Source organism: Homo sapiens, chromosome 6 (assembly GCF_000001405.40).
Source record: "Homo sapiens chromosome 6, GRCh38.p14 Primary Assembly".
Classification (NCBI taxonomy): Eukaryota; Metazoa; Chordata; class Mammalia; order Primates; family Hominidae; genus Homo; species Homo sapiens.
This window is the reverse complement of record NC_000006.12, coordinates 5,530,629-5,550,191: the sequence shown is the minus strand read 5'-3', so window position 1 is coordinate 5,550,191 and position 19,563 is coordinate 5,530,629. Positions and strand designations below refer to the sequence as shown.

General features: G+C 40.6%; 1 protein-coding gene across 19 annotated transcripts in view, besides 1 other annotated feature; it reads right to left on the bottom strand.

Annotated features, from left to right (window-relative positions):
- Positions 1–19,563, bottom strand: part of FARS2 (phenylalanyl-tRNA synthetase 2, mitochondrial) — a 521,650-nt gene that overhangs the window by 221,392 nt on the left and 280,695 nt on the right. For 15 of the 19 annotated variants that reach the window (XM_047418086.1, NM_001374878.1, NM_001318872.2 and 12 more), the window contains one exon: positions 4,852–5,012. In XM_047418086.1, coding sequence (XP_047274042.1) covers positions 4,852–5,012 — 161 coding nt within the window. Of the gene's footprint in view, positions 1–4,851; positions 5,013–19,563 lie in introns of those variants that run through there. The other 4 variants (XR_007059197.1, XR_007059196.1, XR_926027.4 and 1 more) reach the window with 1 other exon arrangement.
- Positions 7,531–8,730: an enhancer, noted in NCBI's record as "P300/CBP strongly-dependent group 1 enhancer chr6:5541695-5542894 (GRCh37/hg19 assembly coordinates)". NCBI's record gives its function as "activates an origin of replication core promoter dependent on BRD2, BRD4, P300/CBP, MED14 and CDK7 cofactors, with strong dependence on P300/CBP, by STARR-seq in HCT116 cells {active_cell/tissue: HCT116}" and the evidence as "EXISTENCE:reporter gene assay evidence [ECO:0000049][PMID:35650434]".

The window sequence follows — 19,563 nt, the reverse complement described above, 5'->3', positions numbered from 1 at the left end:
GAAACCTAATGGCTGAATTTTGAAATAGCTTGGAACCAGTGATTCTTTTTCTTCTCCTTTCATTTTCTCCCTTTTTGAATGGAAATGTCTACAACTATTCTCCAATGCCTATCCTACTCATTGTATTTTGGGAGTAGGTACCTCGCTTCAGGTGCAAAAGTGGGGAGGAATTTTGCCCCAGGATGAATCATACCCAGAGTGTCACATAAACCAGCTTTAGATAATTAAATGATGAAATGGGACTTAGGGGCTGATGATATTTAGATGACATTTTGGATTTTGAGTTGATTTTGCAATGGGTTCAGAGTTTGTGGGACCTTGGGATAGGCTGAATGTATTTTACAAAAGACAGATGTGAATCTTTAGGGGTCAAAGGGAAGACTCTGGTAGACTGAAAAATGCCCCCAACCCTACCCAAAGATATCTACGTCCTAATCCCTGTAACCTAGAAATACATTACCTTATATTCAACAGGAAATTTACATTTCCTTTTGTATTAGAGAATTAATTTGTATTAAAGTATTAAAGGATTACTTTAAGAGAAGTATTTTGAGATGGGAAGATTATCCTGAATTACCCAGCAAGGCTTGATACAATCATAAGGATCCTTATAAGAAAGAAGCAAAGGTCAAAGAGAAGGCAATGTGACAAAAGATGAAGGAGAGAGAAAAGGCAACATGATGCATGGCTGTGATCCAAGGACTGAGGATGGCCTTTAAAAGCCGGAAAAGGTGACAGTTCACAAGGACAGAAAACCAAATACCGCATGTTCTCACTCATAGGTGGGAACTGAACCATGAGAACACCTGGACACAGGGCAGGGAACATCACACACCAGGGTCTGTCGTGGAGTGGGGGGAAGAGGGAGGGATAACATTAGGAGAAATACCTAATGTAAATGACGAGTTAATGGGTGCAGCAAACCAACATGGCACATGTATACATATGTAACAAACCTGCACGTTGTGCACATGTACCCTAGAACTTAAAGTATAATTAAAAAAAAAAAAAAGCCAGAAAAGTCAAGAAGGTGGATTCCCCCAAGAGCCTACAGAAGGAGTCAGCCCTGCTGACACCTTAACTTTAGCCCAGTTGGGTGGATTTTGGTTTTCTGACCTCTAGAACTGTAAAATAATAAATACATGTTGTTTTAAGCTACTAGATTTGTGGTAACTGGTTACCTAAGCAACAGGAAACTAACAAGAATAGATACTAATTATAAGTGAATACTTAGGTAATAGTATGATCTATAATCTATACTTCACAAAGTATTTTATGAACATATACTAAATATGAATGTACAAATCCTAATTGCCCCGTTAGAAGTTCTTAAGTTTGTTACACAAAGACAACTATAAAAATTATATATTAGTGCAGGTATGCATATATTGGCTTTCAAATTTGAAGGCAGAAAGGAGAAAAAAAATGACATTTAGTGCAAGAGATCAAGAGTCTATTTCTATGTGTCTCATAAAAAAAGATTGTTGTAAGTACACTTAAAATTGAATTTAAGCCACTTAATTCTGGTGGCAACTGTGTTTTTCATCTTTATTTGTCACACCATGGTGTTGAGCACACCATTCTACACGATGTTGGTGTTCTTTAAATGTTTGCTGATTAAATAACTGACAATATATTAAAAAGAGAATGAGAAAAAGTTACAGCCCTAGCCAGGTTTTATTGTAAATTAGATACAGCTTTATTTCAAATTAGTCTACAAGGAAATTGATGCTAAAATAAAACAGATAATTATTCAAGTAGAAGTTTTTAAAAGTCCTCATAAGGTAAAACCAAAAATATATGCATATATACATAGAAAGGTTCAAGATGCAGATGGGCACACACACAAAATCAGTGTGCTTCACTATAACAATAACAAAATACACTCATAAAAATCATACCTGTCCTTAAAGTTGATGATATGGTTTGGCTGTGTCCCCGCCCAAATCTCAACTTCAATTGTATCTCCCAGAATTCCCACATGTTGTGGGAGCAACTCAGGTGGAGGTAATGGAATCACAGGGGCCGGTCTTTCCTGTGCTATTCTCGTGATAGTGATTAAGTCTCACAAGATCTGATGGGTTTATCAGGGGTTTCTGATTTTGCTTCTTCATCATTTTCTCTTGCTGCTGCCATGTAAGAAGTGCCTTTCGCCCACCGCCATGATTCTGAGGCCTCCCCAGCCATGTGGAACTGTACGTCCAATTAAACCTCTTTTTCTTCCCAGTCTGGGGTATATCTTTATCAGCAGCATGAAAATGGACTAATACAGTTGAAAAGGTCTGTACACAAATATAAATAAGTATAACTCCAGAGAGAGATGAGCCCTTCTAGGGTAGACAGACACTGATGGCTGCTGTCGCCACTGGGGCGTGAGTAGGCAGAAGAGCTAGCCTGCTACTGGCAAAGACATTTTGTTGGAATAAGAAGAATGAGCCACACTTGCGTCAGCCAAGCATGGGCTGGCATGGCAGATTGGAAAATGGAGAAACAGAGCTAACCCTCACTGCCAGCCAATTCTCCTTCATAATATTTCTGCTTACAAACGCTGGTGGTGGAAGAAGCTGGTAAGTGGATGGAAAGCAGAAAGAGATCCTGTGATCTCACATGGTTAGATCCCAAACTCTGCTGCAGGGCTAGATCTCACCATCAAGAGGAAAGCAGATGTGAAATTCAACTCAACTCCTGATTAGAACAAAAAGATCTGGCCTAGTCACCTTAGCAGCCAGAAGGTAGAAAGCATAAGACTTTCTGGGGATAAATTTTATCTACCTCAGTCTTTGTCCATTCAAACACAATTAAAAAAAAAACAAAAAGACAAGTGAAGCAGCAGGAAATATGTAAGCCATGATTAGGAAGGGAAAACAACCACAACAAAAGAACACTAGATAATCAAATGGTTGGAATTAACAGACAAGTACTTTAAAATAACCATTATGAGGCCGGGCGCAGTGGTTCATACCTGTAATCCCAGCACTTCGGGAGGCCAAGATGGGCAGATCACCTGAGGTCAGGAGTTTGAGACCAGCCTGGCCAACATGGTGAAACCCTGTATCTACTAAAAATACAAAAGTTAGCCAGGCATGGCAGTGTATGCCTGTAATCCCAGCTACTCGGGAGGCTGAGGTGGGAGAATTGCTTGAATCCAGGAGGCAGAGGTTGCAGTGAGCTGAGATCATGCCATTGCACTCCAGCCTGGGGAACAGAGCAAGTCTCCGTCTCAAAATAAATAAATAAAATAAAATAAAATAAAATAAAATAACCATTATGAATATGTGAAAGAATTTAAGGAAGAATGGATGAAATGGATGAAAAAATCAAGCATTTCAGTAGATAAATGAAAACTCTAAAAAGGAAGCAAATGCAAATTCTAGAATTGATAAATACAGTTATCTGGGGAATGATTAATTCACTGGATGGGCTTAATGGTTACTTGGACAAAACAGGAAAAAAAAAAAGATGAGCAACCCAAAGAGAAGACAATAAAAATTATCAAAAATAAAGCACACAGGAAAAGAAAATCGTTAATTAAAAAAACCTTTCATCAGAGTTCTATGGCATAGGATCAAATGGTCTAACATATATGCAGCTTCATTCTGAAAAATGAATGGAGTAGAATTGTTGGAAAAGATACTAGATGAGGGCTGGGCGCAGTGGCTCACTCCTGTAATCCCAGCACTTCGGGAGGCCAAGGCGGGCGAATCACAAGGTCAGGAGTTTGAGACCAGCCTGGCCAACATGGTGAAACCCCGTCTCTACTAAAAATACACAAAATTAGCTGGGCGTAGTGGTGGGCGCCTGTAATCCCAGCTGCTCAGGAGGCTGAGGCAGGAGAATTGCTTGAACCCAGGAGGCGCAGGTTGCAGTGAGCCAAGATCGCGCACTCCAGCCCAGGCGACAGAGTGAGATTCTGTCTAAAAAAAAAAAAAAAAAAAAGTACAAAATTGGTTCTCTGCTTAGACTAATAATATTGACAAATATCTTTTCTCTTGCATAAAATTTCTGAAGGTTTATGAACCCCTTGTGTGTTTATGGACCTCTATTTAGGAACTTCTTTTTTTTTGAGACAGAGTTTCGCTATTTTTGCCCAGGCTGGAGTGCAATGGCACGATCTCAGCTGACTGCAACCTCTGCCTCCTGGGTTCAAGTGATTCTCCTGCCTCAGTCTCCCAAGTAGCTGGGACTACAGGTGCGTGCCACCATGCCCAGCTAATTTTTGTATTTTTAGTAGAGACAGGGTTTCACCATGTTGACTAGGCTGGTCTCGAACTCTTGACCTCAGGTGATCCACCCGTCTTGGCCTCCCAAAGTGCTGAGATTAAAGGCATGAGCCACCATGCCTGGCCAGAACTTCTTTACAAATTCACATTATTTAAAATTCATGCAGCCATAAAAAAGAATGAGTTCACGTCCTTTGCAGAAACATGGATGAAGCTGGAAACCATCATTCTCAGCAAACTAACAGAGAAACAGAAAACCAGACACCACATGTTCTCACTCATAAGTTGGAGTTGAACAATGAGAACACATGGACACAGGGAGGGGAACATCACACACCGGGGCCTGTTGCGGGGTGGCAGGCAAGGGGAGGCAGAGCATTAGGACAAATACCTAATGCATGTGGGGCTTAAAACCTAGATGACGGGTTGATAGGCACAGCAAACCACCATGGCACACGTATACCTATGCAACAAACCTGCACGTTCTGCACATGTATCCCAGAACTTAAAGTAAAATGAAAATAAAATAAAATAAATAAAATAAAATTCAGTGGCTTTCAAGTACATGATCCTGTCGATCCTTGACAGCCATTTTTATTATTATCTATTCAGTTCTTGCAAGTCATCTTACCTGAAACTTCACCTTCTGATTAATGTTGGATACACAGAACTGCTTCAGGAAGCGCTCGTCCTCACACCAGAAGAGACGGATATCAGGGATGTCGTAGAGGATCATGGCTAGCCTTTCTAATCCTAGGCCAAAAGCCCAGCCGATTCGGTCTTGAGCACCAGCTGTGATTAGGAAACAAAATAGTTGTTTTTAAAAAGTATCGAGATTGGATAGGTTCATACCACTCCCTGACAGTTATCAGTGACACTAATTAGATGCCTACCAGCGGGCAAAGGCACTGGGCAGCCGCTACAAAGACATCCATGAGGGTGCCCAATCTTCCACGCTTTCTCATCTCCATATTCCGGACTGCCCTCATGAACGGATTCTGAAGTCATACTGTCTGGAGTACTGTCTTTCATTTCTGATTACATTCTAGGCTTTCTGAAGCACTGGTTCCTGAACTGAGTTATGATTTTTCTGTAGTCTTTGCTTGCTCTGATTCAAACATTTAGCCCACTGAATATAGGTTACAGAGTGGAAAGAAAAGACGGTCTCTGTCCTTAAGTGTAGTAGATAATGAGATACATTCAAAACATGCCATAGTGGCCATAACATGTTTAGAACGAACTTACATGAAGAAAGTACATACGTCATGCCTTTAAGAACCTCAGTTTTATTAAACACCATAATGCTTATTCTTACCAACAGCCACTTCAGCATTGCAGAGAACACAAGCAGGCCCAGACGAGGGGTATAACTAGCACCACCTACTCCAAAGGTACAGTGTCCTGCTCAGATTGTGTCAGTGCCATAAATTAGAAGGGTTTACTTCACAAACTGAGGCAGTGTAAAAGGGAAGATAGAAACTGCAGAATGAAGGCAGGCAAAGGAGCAGTTCACACTGCAGGAAAGCTTATGAAATGAGCTCATGAAAGGATATAATTCCAACTGGACACTAACAGATGAGTAGGATCCTGTGGTAGGCTGAGATGGCCTCGGAGACTCCCACCCCGCATGCACATGCCTTGTGTAAACTCCTCCCGTTGAGTATGGGTGGGATCTAGGAACACAATGGGAATTTAAGCCTGTGACTGCTTTACTTTTTATCTAGGACTCCATCTTGGCCGATTGGAGAGAGATCCACCTCCTGGCTGTGAAGAGGCCACATGGCTCGGGCCCTTGAGAAGTCCTAAAGGAGCTCAGAGAGGCACCAGCAGCCAGGGAGAAAATGGGAACTTCACTTCTACAGTGGGACGGAACAAATTCTCCCAATAGCTGGAGTGAGCTGATGATAGCACCCCAGCTTCAGAGTACACAGCCCTGCCTCTGCCTTGATTTCAACCTGGTAAGATCCTGATCAGGGGACCCTATCAATCCATAGCCAGGCTCCTCATGCAAGGATATTATGATATAGTCAATTCGTGCTATGTTAGGCCACTAAGTGTAATTTGTTACCCAGAAAAAAAAAAAAAAGCAAACAAACAAACATAACTAATCCAGATTCAAAATGTAGAGAAAAGTGATAGGAAATTCCAGACTGAAGGAGTTTCTTCAGTAGCAATGGGACGGGATGCAGCACGGGAAGGCTGAGGAGTGGATTCTGGAGATACAGGCAGGACTCGTCTCAACGAGCCACAAGAAACATTTTGTTCTCATTTCTACCTTGCATTTAATGTTTTCCTAAAACATAAAAAACTTGGCCAGGAGCGGTGGCTCACGCCTGTAATCCCAGCACTTTGGCAGGACAAGGCTGGCAGATCACGAGGTCAGGAGTTCAAGACCAGCCTGGCCAACAGTGAAACCCCGTCTCTACCAAAAGTACAAAATTTAGCCAGGCATGGTGGCGTGTGCCTGTAATCCCAGCTACTCGGGAGGCTGAGGCAAGAAAACTGCTTGAACCTGGGAGGTGGAGGTTGCAGTAAGCTGAAATTGTGCCATGGCACTCCAGCTTGGTCCACAGAGTGAGAAAAAAAAAAAAAAACCACCACCAACAACAGAAAACCCTTATAATTGTTTCACAAATCCCCATTCGCTCTAGCTGAACCAGAACATTCATGGAGCTTCAGGATTAGGTGTGCAAAGTCCAGGAGGGAAAAGGCTTCATTATAAGTGAAACACCAGCACCTGCGGTTATCACTTGGCATCAAGGCAATCATCAAGACAAATGGGAACACAGGCTATAAGCTACAGACAGATGGAGAGGCACTGGTCATTAGCAAAGAACTTTTTAAACATTTCCAGCACATCACAGGCTGATAATTTGGTCACATATAAAATTATGCACATGACATTCCACTCAACAACAACATAATTGACATTTTTTTCAAGTGTACATGGGTCATCCACCACCACAGACCATATTCTGGAACACAAAATACATTTCAAATATTTAAAAGGATTGAAATTGTACAAAAAAAGTTCTATGTCCAAATGCAAATAAATCAGAAATCAACAGAAAAATATCTGAAAAATCTCCCAAATATTGGGAAATTAAACAACATACTTCTCTAAGTAACACATGAGCCAAAGAAGTCATCACAAGGGAAATCAGAAAATATATTTAAATGAATAAAAATTAAGATATGACACATTGAAACTAGAACTCGTAAATTATTGGGTGGGAATGATAAAACCACTTTGGTAGTTTCAAAAACAGTTTGGTAGTTTTTTACAATAAACCAATATTTCTCAACTGGGGGCCATCTTAACCACCAGGGGACATTTGGTAAGGTCTGAAGACATTTTTGGTGATCAAAACTGGGAGTGGGGAGCATCCTGACATCTAGTGGGTAGAGGCCAAAGATGTTGCTAAAGATCCCATAATGGACGGAATGGTTTCCCACCACAAAGAATTATCCAACCCAAAACATGAAACAGAGAAACCCTGAATTAAACAGACACTTAGCATATGACAGAGCAATTCCATTCCTAAGTATTTACCTAAGATATGGAAACATGTGCACTGGAAGTCCAATGCAGCTTAATTCAGAATAGCTCAACCCCAAAACACCCAAAATGTCCATCAACCAGTGAATGGAGAAATTGTGGTATATCCATATAGTAGAATTGTCAAAGGCATCTGAACCAGAGTGACTCCATCTTGAGTAGGAGCTGGGTAAAATAAGGATGAGACCTGCTGGGCTGCATTCCCAGGAGGTGAGGCATTCTGAGTCACAGGATGAGATAGGAGGTCAGCAGGGGTGGTATCACAAGATACAGGTCACAAAAACCCTGCTGAGAAAACAGGATATGGTAAAGAAGCAGGCCAAAACCCACCAAATCCAAGATGGCGACAAAAGTGGCCTGTGGTCCTCCTCATTGCTGGTTATATGCTAATTTTAATGCATCAGCATGCTAAAAGACATTCCCACCAGCACAATGACAGTTTACAAATGCCATGGTAATGTCTGGAAACTACCCTATATACTCTAAAAGGGGGAGGAACCCTCACTTCTGGGAATTGCCTGCCCCTTTCCTGGAAAACTCATGAATAATCCACCTCTTGTTTAGCATATAATCAAGAGATAACCCTAAGTATTATGCAGTGGAACAGCCCATGCCACTGCTCTGTCTATGGAGTAGCCATTCTTTTGTTTCTTTACTTTCTTAATAAACTTGCTTTCACTTTACACTGCGGACTTGCCCGGAATTCTTTTTCACACGAGATCCAAGAACACTCTCTTGGGGTGTGGATCAGGACCCTTTTCTGATAGCAGAATATGACCTAGTAATAAAAATAACTTATTCCTATACAGAACAAAATACATGAATCTCAAAAGAATTATGTTTAACAAAAAGAGATTAGTCACTAAAGATTATCTACAATATGAATTCAATTCTCATGACATTCTAGACAAGGCGAAACTATAGAGACAGATAACAGATTGGTAGGACATAAGAGAACTTTTCCAGGAGATGGAAATTTTCTCTATCTTGATTGTGGGGTGTTTACATGACTGTATATATCCTTCAAAACTCATGTAGCTATGTTTTAAAAGTATGAATTCTGTTGTGTGTAATACTACTTCAACAAACTGGCATTTCAAACATACTACACTTGAATGACACGGCAGTACCAAGTCAAATTGCTGTAAGTTTCTCAACGGTTACTCTCAGCCTCTGTGGTTATCTCCTTGTGAACTGGAAACTGATAGTTTGTGGATCAGCACCATTCTGAGCACCACACTTTGAGGTGTAATGATTTAAATGATATAGAACATGCCAATATAGCTTACATATATATTTAAACCCACAAAGTTAAGACGTTCCATAGCAAACTCTTACATATTCTAAGTGCTGATCCATAGACCCCCTAGGAATCTGCAGACTGCAAGCTGAGAATTATGACTGGGAAAGAAAATATAACCCCTAACAACAGCACCAAAGGCCCCTCACACCTGGTGCTGGGCCCACCACCTCAGATTATCCACAGTTCTCTAAACATCATATGTCCTTGTCATAATATAGCGGATCTTCCTAACACTTGCCCCTCTCCTAAAGTAACCTGTCATGGTCCTCTAAAACTTCATTGAAGTATTCTGACTGTGAGATTCTTCCTCTGACCCTGAAGCATTAAGTTTACCTTCATTTCCCCGTGACAAACACGCTGTACATATTTCTATTAGCAACTATCACATTTACAAGTTTCTCTCCCCATCTAAACCTGAGAGTTCTGAGAAAACAGTCCCTACACAATGTCATACACAGTATTGACTACTCCATAAACGAGTTTTAGACATATATCTGTGCTAATGAGAAGAACATGTGCTTCCCACACAGTGGATTCTTTGAGTCACTCTCACAGCACAAAGCTGAAGACACGACAGTGCGAATGAATGATGTCTCAGAGAAAAGCAAAAAAGGGCTGGTGTTCTGAAAAGCAAAGTTTACACGATGTTCACAATTAAGGGTTGGGAGGCTAAAGGCGTACGGAAGAAGAAAAAAAGCACTAAATGCTTCATTCATTGCTTGCTAGACACTGAATACCAGTTTCACAGATGAGAAATGGAAATGATCACAAAATGCTCAGAAGTAACAGCATTGAAGGGAATAAATACCATCTAAAAGGTAAATCTACATTCTATTATGTTTGTCAAAATAGAAATATCAGAAACAATAAGAAATAAAGGTATGAGTCCAAAATCGAATTATCATAAAGTTATGGAAAAACAGAGAAATTTCCCATTTGCTATCTTCCTCCCAGCTGAGCCAGGGAGCTGCCAAGCACAGCAGTCCTGAAGAGGCCGGACCCACGCATGCACTGCCAAGCGGGACAGGTGAAAAACATGGCTCAGGTAAAGGGCGAACGAACTTCACATAAGAGGGAGCCCCATGGTTGCCATGATGATGGCAGTCTAGGCTCCACTGTAATATGTCTCAGAGTAAAGGAGGACTTGCTTTTCCAGACTGATGTGGCACGTCTTCTGAATGGAGCAGGGTGAGACGGAGCAGAGGGAGCACCGCCAGCTGGAAATCACATCTGCAGAACACGGCGAGGGGAGGCTGGGCTGTCCTGTGTGACGAGGTAAGCTGCACACTGGGAGTAATGCTGATGATGAGAATTCAGTTTTTCGCATTTGAAATGGCCACAAGAGATAGTTGCTCCTGCCATTCCATTACTGCCATACAGAATGGCTTAACATCAATGAGTCTTAAAATTAAAGTCATTAATCACATTGGCTAATATCCAAGAATTCACTGAAAAGATAAAAACAGTTACCTTCACAAATACAACTTCCAATTGCTTTTCTCAGAAGGCTCACTGCAAAGCTACACTGCTAAAAGTCAGATGTTCTAGAGCTGGTTTATTAGAAATGTAGAAATGGTTGGCCGAGTGCGGTAGCTCACACCTGTAATCCTAGCACTTTGGGAGGCCAAGGCGGGCAGATCACGAGGTCAGGAGATTGAAACCATCCTGGCTAACATGGTGAAACCCCGTCTCTACTAAAAAAATATATACATATATATATATATACACAAAAAAAATTAGGTGGGCATGGTGGCGGGCACCTGTAGTCCCAGCTACTTGGGAGGCTGAGGTAGGAGAATGGCGTGAACCAGGGAGGCAGAGCTTGCAGTGAGCCGAGATCGTGCCACTGCACTCCAGTCTGGGCCACAGAGCGAGACTCCTGTCTCAAAAAAAAAAAAGAAATGTTCACTGGCCTAAGTGGATGATTGGCAGGACCACACTGAAAGGTTGATGGGGGAAAGGAAGGCTGATGGTTGTGCTGGGGATATGCGTGACTCCAGGGCCTCAGTCCCATGTGGCTGTCAGTAGGGACACCCTCTTCTAAAGAGAGGAGACTGGCTCTACCTGAGAGGACCCAGTGCTGAGGTGACTGAGGGGGTCATTCCCGCGGGCACATAAAATCCCACCACCTGTGTGTCAAAGCTTATGGACCAGACCCTCATGGGGAACAGAGAGCAACTGGACTTCAGCTGCCTACCACTGCCTACAACCTTTCATTCGCATAATCATCCTAATAAAAAGTTTGCCTGTGACAATCAATTTTCATGGAGGGTTGCAAGAAAGGATACGGTGTCCATTTGCTGAGTTGCATCAAATTTTACCTTTAAAACATTTTGTTTTGGTTCCCTTTCGATTTATTTCTTCTGAATCGCACCCCTGCATTGTGTCATTGGCCTATTCCATCAGTAAGACAATACTGGCGACTCCTGTGAAGGACGTGACCACTCTATCATATAGTTTTCTGTAGGAGGCTTCAGGAAATAAATTGATCTTAGATTTAAGAAAATGACTTCGGATCTTGGGAACAGAAAAGGCTTCCTTTTCTTGACAACTGGATTTTTTTAATTTTAAGGATGCCATGTGCTACATAATCGGTCAAAATTCACTTTTTACTTTGGCCCCATCGGAGCTTAGAGGCAACCTTGGAGGCCACCTCTACAACTGCACAACTGTTCAGGGTACATTTCTCTTTGTGACTTTTGCTCCAGTTTTATTTTCTTATCCGCATTTCCTCTTTGCCCTGATTATCTCAACTATTTATTTTATCCTCGGGTATGTACTTTAATAAGGCACTTCAAATTCTTTATGGAAGAAAGTGAGTCATAAATACATAGACACTTAAAGGTACTGTCAACCAAGGTAGGTATAATTTTCAGGTCTTTGGCACTCCTCAGCTGTAATTTGTTGCCAAGTACCCAGGTCTGACAGGGTTTTAAGGCAGTATTTTTTTTTTTTTTTTTTGCCTCATTCCAAAACTAGTGAGTTCCAGTAAACTAGAGTCACCAGAGTACAGAACTCACTGTGGAGGAATGTTCCCAATTAGACAGAATATGCAGGATTGGAAGCAGTTAGGCATTTTGACTAATGAAAGTCTGTACAGTATTGAGCATCCCATGCAAGAACATTTTTTGTATTTATAATTGTTGAAAATCTTCCTAAGAGGGCGAGCCTATGCACAGAAGCAAAAGATGTAAGAGAAGAATCCAGAGAAGGGAAACTTTAAAAAAAAAGGAGAGGAGAAAGTGGAGGAGGAGGAGAATGGCAATAGAAAAGAGGACAGTGAGAAGTTATCAGTGTGAAAGGACAGTAACAAAATTTATCTTAGAACTTGAAAGATTCTAATCCCACAGGGCGACCCTTCTAAGCAGCAGCTGGCTCTACAAGCTCTGCCTCTACAGCGTCAGAGAGGGAAGCATTTGCAAAGGAAAGCCCAAAGCACAGTGCTTCTGCATGTGGCCTCTTGTCTGCATCTCCAACTCGAGAGGAAGCCCGGGACATCTCCAACTCGAGAGGAAGCCCGGGACATCTCCAACTCGAGAGGAAGCCCGGGACATCTCCAACTCGAGAGGAGGCCCGGGACATCTCCAACTCGAGAGGAGGCCCGGGACATCTCCAACTCGAGAGGAGGCCCGGGACATCTCCAGCTCGAGAGGAGGCCCGGGACATCTCCAACTCGAGAGGAGGCCTGGGACATCTCCAACAGGAGCGCAGCTCTGTGTAGGGTCTGGGGTGGAGAGGGAGCAAAGAGCACTGTGGCAAGACTAAAAATAAATGTTATTGCTCAATGCCATCCCTTCAAAGGCACAGGATGTCTGTGCTGTCTGTGGAAGGCACTGGGGAAGGGGTAGGGATACTTCTCAAACCTCTATCCCCAGAGTCCTTAGTCCTGTACAGCATCATGCAGGAAAAGTACACTTCAAAACTGGAGAAAGAGCTGAGAATGGCCAGGTGTGGAATATGAAACTGGGGTCTATATGCAAGCAGCAGTGTACTTGGGTTGTATCAAGGCAAGTGCAGCCTGTATGCCTTCAGCTCAGGGTGTGTGATGATCCTGAGCCACAGAAAAAAAGGGTACCTTTATACCATTATACTTTCATCAGTCAACGCTAGAAGGTGAGTAATTGTGGGGGGAAATTAAGTTTCAAACAGTGTCTGAAATGTACATGATTATCTCTCAACTTCCAACAAAATTAGCTTTTCAGACTAATCCTTTCTGAAGATTTAGAACAAGTTGTAAGGCAAGTGGTGTTTAAGTGAAGCCAGATGTAACTTCTTGTGCCTATTCAAAGAAGCTTCTACAGTGAGAAGATCTTTCTCATTCTCTCCTGAGAAACCTGGAAAGACAAGTACTCTTTTATCTATAATTCTAATCAGTGACCTATTTAACCTTTTGGAGACAGAGTAAAATCCTTACTTGAGAACATAATTTACACCAGGCTACATGGACACCAGGCTACATTGGTCAGGTCCAAACACATCAATCTTTCAGAGATGAAATATAATATTTATTTTGATTTTCATTGTACTTGTGGCTATGAATGAGAATGTAAAGGGATTAGAGTATCAACATATTAATATTCTGCATTCTTGACCTCCTTATAGGGTTCTGCTTTTTTATCTTCACCATACTAATAAGTGGCAGAGCTTATTTTTGACTTACTTATAAAAAAGGAAGGACATTCCCAGCAGACACTCCTATTTTTTCAGAACTTATAACATGAGAATGAAGAAAGATGAATTAAAACCAAAGAGATAAATTAAAATTAAAGAGATAAATTAGGCCAGGCACGGTGGCTCACGCCTGTATTCCCAGCACTTTGGGAGGCCGAGGTGGGCAGATCATGAGGTCAGGAGATCGACAGTGAAACTCCATCTCTACTAAAAATACAAAAAATTAGCCAGGCATGGCGGGAGCCTGTAGTCCCAGCTACTTGGGAGGCTGAGGCAGGAGAATGGTGTGAACCCGGAAGGTGGAGCTTGCAGTGAGCCAAGATCGCGCCACTGTGCTCCAGCCTGGGCGACAGAGTGAGACTCCGTCTCAAAAAAAAAAAAAAAAAAAGATAAATTAAAACTAGAGGTTTAAAGTAAAGATAGTTTCACAGGGGCTCACTACAAGAAAGCCACATACCAATATCTCTTATGAACATAGATGTAAACTCCTCAAGAAATTACCAGCAAACCAAATTTAGTAGCACATTAAAAGGATCATATACCATGATCAAATGGATTTACCCCAGGAGTGCAAGCAAGAATGGCTCAAAATATAAAAATCAATCAATGTAATATACTGTAACAATAGGATAAAAGAAATAAAACCCACATAACCATATCAATTGATACAGTGAATGCATCTGACAAAGTCCAACACCCTTTCATGATAAAAATATTCAATAAACCAGGAATACAAGGGAATGCCCTCAACAAAATAAAGACAATGTGTGAAAAACCCACAACCAACATCATACTCAATGGTGAAAGTTGAAAACTTTTCACTCATTCCACTTAGATAAATTTCACTTAGATCGGGAACAAGACAAAGATGCTCACAGTCACCGCTACTAGTCAGTATAGCACTAAAAGTTGTAACCAGAGAAATTAGGCAAGAAAAAGAAATAAAAGACATCCCAACTGAAAAAGAAGAAGTAAAATTATCTCTATTTGCAGATGACATAATTTTATATGTAGAAAGCCCTGAAGAATCCACACACAAAAAGCTGTCTAAACTAATAGACAAATTCAGTAAAGTTGCATGATACAAAATCGACACATAAAAATGTTGCACATATTTACATTTCTATACACTAACAATGAACAATCTGAAAAGGAAATTAAGAAAACAATTGCATTTACAAAAGCATCAAAAATAAAGTACTTCGAAATAAATGGAACAATAGGCAAAATATTTGTACCTTGAAAACTATAAAATGTTACTGACAGAATTTTAGGAGATAGACAAATGGCCAATAAGCTCATGAAAAGATACTCAACATTATCAGTCATCAGGGAAATATAAATACAAACCACAATGAGATACCACTTCACATCTACTAGGGTGGTTATAATAATGAAAATAATCATAAAAAGTGTTGAGAAGGATGTGGAGAAACTGAAACCCTGTGCATTGCTGTTGAGAATGTAAAGTAGCGCGGCTGCTGTGGAAAGCAGTTTGGCAGTTTCTCAGAAAGTTAAACACGAATTTGACCATATCACCCAGCAATTCTCTCTCTCAGTCTCTGTGTGTGTGTGTGTGCGCGTGCAAGTGTGTATGCGTGCGTGTGTGTGCGTGCATGTGTGTGTATACATATGTGTGTCTCTATATATGTATATATGCCTCTGTGTGTGTATCTCTAAAAGAACTGAGTAAAGGAGCTCAGACACTTGCACACCGATGTTCATAACAGCATTATTCACAATAGTCCCAAGGTGGAAACAACTCAAGTGTCTGTCAACAGATGAATGGATAAACAAAATATGTTACTTACACACAATGGAATATTATTCAGCCCTAAAAAGGAATGAAGTTCTGATACATGCTACAGCATGGATGAACCTCAAAAACAACAGGCTAAGTGAAAGAAGCCAGGCAAAAAAAAATCTAAGCTTTCCCTTACGTGAAATATCTTGAACAGTAAGCAGATTAGAGGTTACTAGGCACTGGAGGGAGCATGGAATGGGGAGTTAATGCTTAATGGGTACAGAGTTTCTCGTGGAAGCGATGAAAATATTTTGGAGATAGATAGTGGTGATGGTTGCACAACACTGTAAATGTTATTAATGCCACTGAATTGTACACTTAAAATGGCTTAACTGGCTAATTTTATATTATGTAACATTTTATCACAAAAAAATAAAATCTCAGAGGATGTAGATATTTAAAATTTTGAAGAAAGTTTTCATGTGTTCGTCACTTTCTGAAAGGAAAACAACATACATATATTTTTTCTCATCACCACATCTGTCTCTGAAAACACTGAGATACACTAATTGAGCCATTATACCACCAATCATTTCAATGGACTTCAGCTTTTTCTCTCATAAAATGAAGAACAGCAATGATAGGGTGTCTCAAGTCCCTCCCAGCTCTGAACAGTGTATGATTTGGCTCAGTTTAGAAATAGTTAACTAAGGTTCTATTCTAAATCTTCCTTAAGGAAATACAAACTACTGCAGAATAATTTTGCTTAACATTTCACAGCGTAACAAAAGGTATCTGCCAACTGCTCTCTCTCCTCTTGCCACCGGGTCCCCTTAAAGCCTTGAGACATACAGGTACATTCAATGTCACACCCCTTTTGGGGCAGTCATGTCCGGGGTAACGGTCTTCCATCTGTTTCAGGTCCCTGTTTCAACATCCCCTTCTCAGTGAGGTCTCCCAGCCATCCACTTGAAAATTGTAAACCTCTCCATCAACCTACTCTCCCAAACCCCCTCAACTCTGCCCTCTTTTCCTCAGAAAATATCTTCTAATACGCTACAGCCTTTTCATTTACTTATTGTTGACCTTCAGACTCCCCTGCTAGCCTGCAGTGCATGAGGGCAGCATCTTCACTGGTTTTCGTCACTGATCCATCTCGAGTGGCTGGAACACTGGCACATAGCAAGTGCTCAGTAAATATTTGCAAAGAAACAACAGAATAGTATGGTAGGAAAGGTTTCAAGATTTTCCCACTTTTTAGTTTACTTACTTAATTTAAATGGATAGTATTCCGAAGAATTTCATACTTTAAGTTTTCAATACAAGTGATGACTTTCTTTAATTTTGTATCTGTGAGAGATTTTATCTATCATATTATAAAGTGATATTTAACAGTAGTGATATTGGGGGTGCCATTTCTGAAAAGATATCTCAGAAAGGAGAGAATTGGAACACACAAAGTAACAGAAACAAGTGAATATTCTATTCATTGACCCCTACCTTGGTCACCATTCGCTGAGTTCTACTGTATACAGGGCACCAGCAGGCACAGCGTCGCAAGTCCCCTGAGGCCCAGGATCTTATCACCACTTCTGCTTCAACATTCTGTCTTTCTATTTTATTTTCCTCCCCAATGACTGAGCTCTGGAAATGCAAACAGCCCCTGCATCCTCAGGTTTCTCCTCATAGGTTGTTTTGTTACAAGAGACAAGTGAAATGCTTGAACTACTACATATTGAAAAAAAAAAGTTTTGTATTATTGTAAGTATATTTTTCCTTCCTTGTCAAAAGGGTTGACTTCTAGGAATTCTTCAATTTAATGAACTCGCATGTTTCCAAAACAACTGCTACAAGGAACACTAAAACAACCTAGCAATTAACATTCTTCTTCTTCTTCTTCTTCTTCTTCTTATTATTATTATTATTATTACTACTACTACTTTTGAAACAGAGTCTCACACTGTTGCCCAGGATGGAGTGCAATGGCACAATCTTGGCTCACTGCAACCTCTGCCTCCCAGGTTGAAGCAATTCTCCTGCCTCAGCCTCCCGAGTAGCTGGGATTACAGGTGCCCATCACCACACCCTGCTAATTTTTTGTATTTTTGGTAGAGACAGGGTTTCACTATGTTGGCCAGGCTGGTCTGGAACGCCTGACGCTGTGATCCACCCGCCTCGGCCTCCCAAAGTGCTGGGATTACAGGCGTGAGCCACTGCGCCCAGCCAACATTCATATATTACAGAACTTCACCAATGACAAAGAACTTCACCTATATTATCTTGAGTTTTATCCTCACAATGTTCCTATGGGAAATGTCAAACTGGTATCATCTATGTTGAAAAGATAAACAGTGTTCGAGCAAGATCACATAAACATTGGGACTTGAATTTATGTTTTGACTTTAAGTTTACACCCAGTAGATGTTCCCCTAGATTCATGCTGAAACATTAACTGAGGACGGCTATGTTCAAGGTATTTCAAAACATCAGGAAGTGCTACTGACATCTGTGTGCTTTCTATGTTGTCATTGCTGATTTCCTGGTTGACTATAATTATTCCACGAAAGCCAGTAAAATGGTTTGTGTAGGTAGGTGCTCACATAACAGTAGATTTCTCTTCTGAATGTTGGGTTTTATCGTTCCAAAATGACTTTCACGCTAGATTTGACTGTAATATACACACAAACCTACTGAGTGAACTGATGGGTCTAGTAGTTAGCAGTGGTATTGAATGAAGGCATCCACGTCCCTTGATTGTTAGTTACAATGATGGACATGCAGGAATAAAAGCACTGCAGTATCCTGTTGAGACACTGCACATCCAGAAGCAGGCCTAGAAAGGTCAGCACAGCTAGGTAAATTCCGATTTCTTCTCTTCCAACCATGCATGTAGTCCTTCATCCCCTGCTTTCCAGTCACGATACTTGAACTGCTTCCTCGGAGACTCGCCACCGGATGATTGACTTTCCAAGCTCTGCCCAAAGATCAATCTCCTGCCTGAAACATTTCTCCAGCTGTATATATCCTTGGCCCCAAACACTCTGTCAAAAAGTGCTTCACCTAATCCAAAGGCAGACCTCTCTTTTAAAAGAAAGCTTTTCATGGTACAGAGCAGACTGTGGATGAGAGTCTCTGGGTCTTACAAGCAGTGTTCTTTAATACGGTCTGAGCTGGATGGCATTCTAATCAACTTACTGCAAAAAACTTTCACAACCATCTCAAAAAAACTCACTTTGGACCATCCCCTTTCCTTCCTGAGTCCTAGATTTTGGTTCTCTGGAGTTTAATAAAGAAAACTGCAGTGTCTGAAGCACGTGCTAATGAGCAGTGCATGAAGCAATTCCCAACGGTCCTGCGCAGTGAGAATCCTCCTTACATGGAATGTGTAGAAAGTGTTGGTCCCTCTTTCTCTGCAGTTTGGACAGTGATGCACCACCCCCTGCAGGGGCTTGACTCCCACTCCCCACCATTTTCCAGTGACTGGCTGAGGGGAGAGCATGGCCAATGAGATGTGAGTGATATAAAATATAAGATATACGTGAAAATCTGCTAGGATGCTCATAGGCAAGAGTTTCTTTTCAGAAAAAAAGGCCCTTCTGAACTACTTCCTTCTTTCTTCCCACATCAGATGCTATCACTCAAGAATATAATGCCTGGAGCTGCAGTAGCTAACATGTGACCAGGAGCAAAAAGCTGGAGATCAGCAGCCCTGTATTTATATTGACATTTATTAATATTTATAATCTATGTATAAATTATATATTTAATTATATATTTATACATTATATAGTTATACATAGATTGTAACTATATATCCATTGATATATAAGTATAAATATATATCTATTGATATATTTATAAATATATCTCCATTTATATATTGATATATTTGTCAATATATAGTTCTATATTATACAATATATGAAATATTTATATATAAATATATAGTTATATATTTGATATTAATACAAATATATAGCTATATAGATATTGTTATTGTTATATATATTTTATATTTATAAATATAAATATATAAATATATTTTTAAATATTACAATAATTTAAG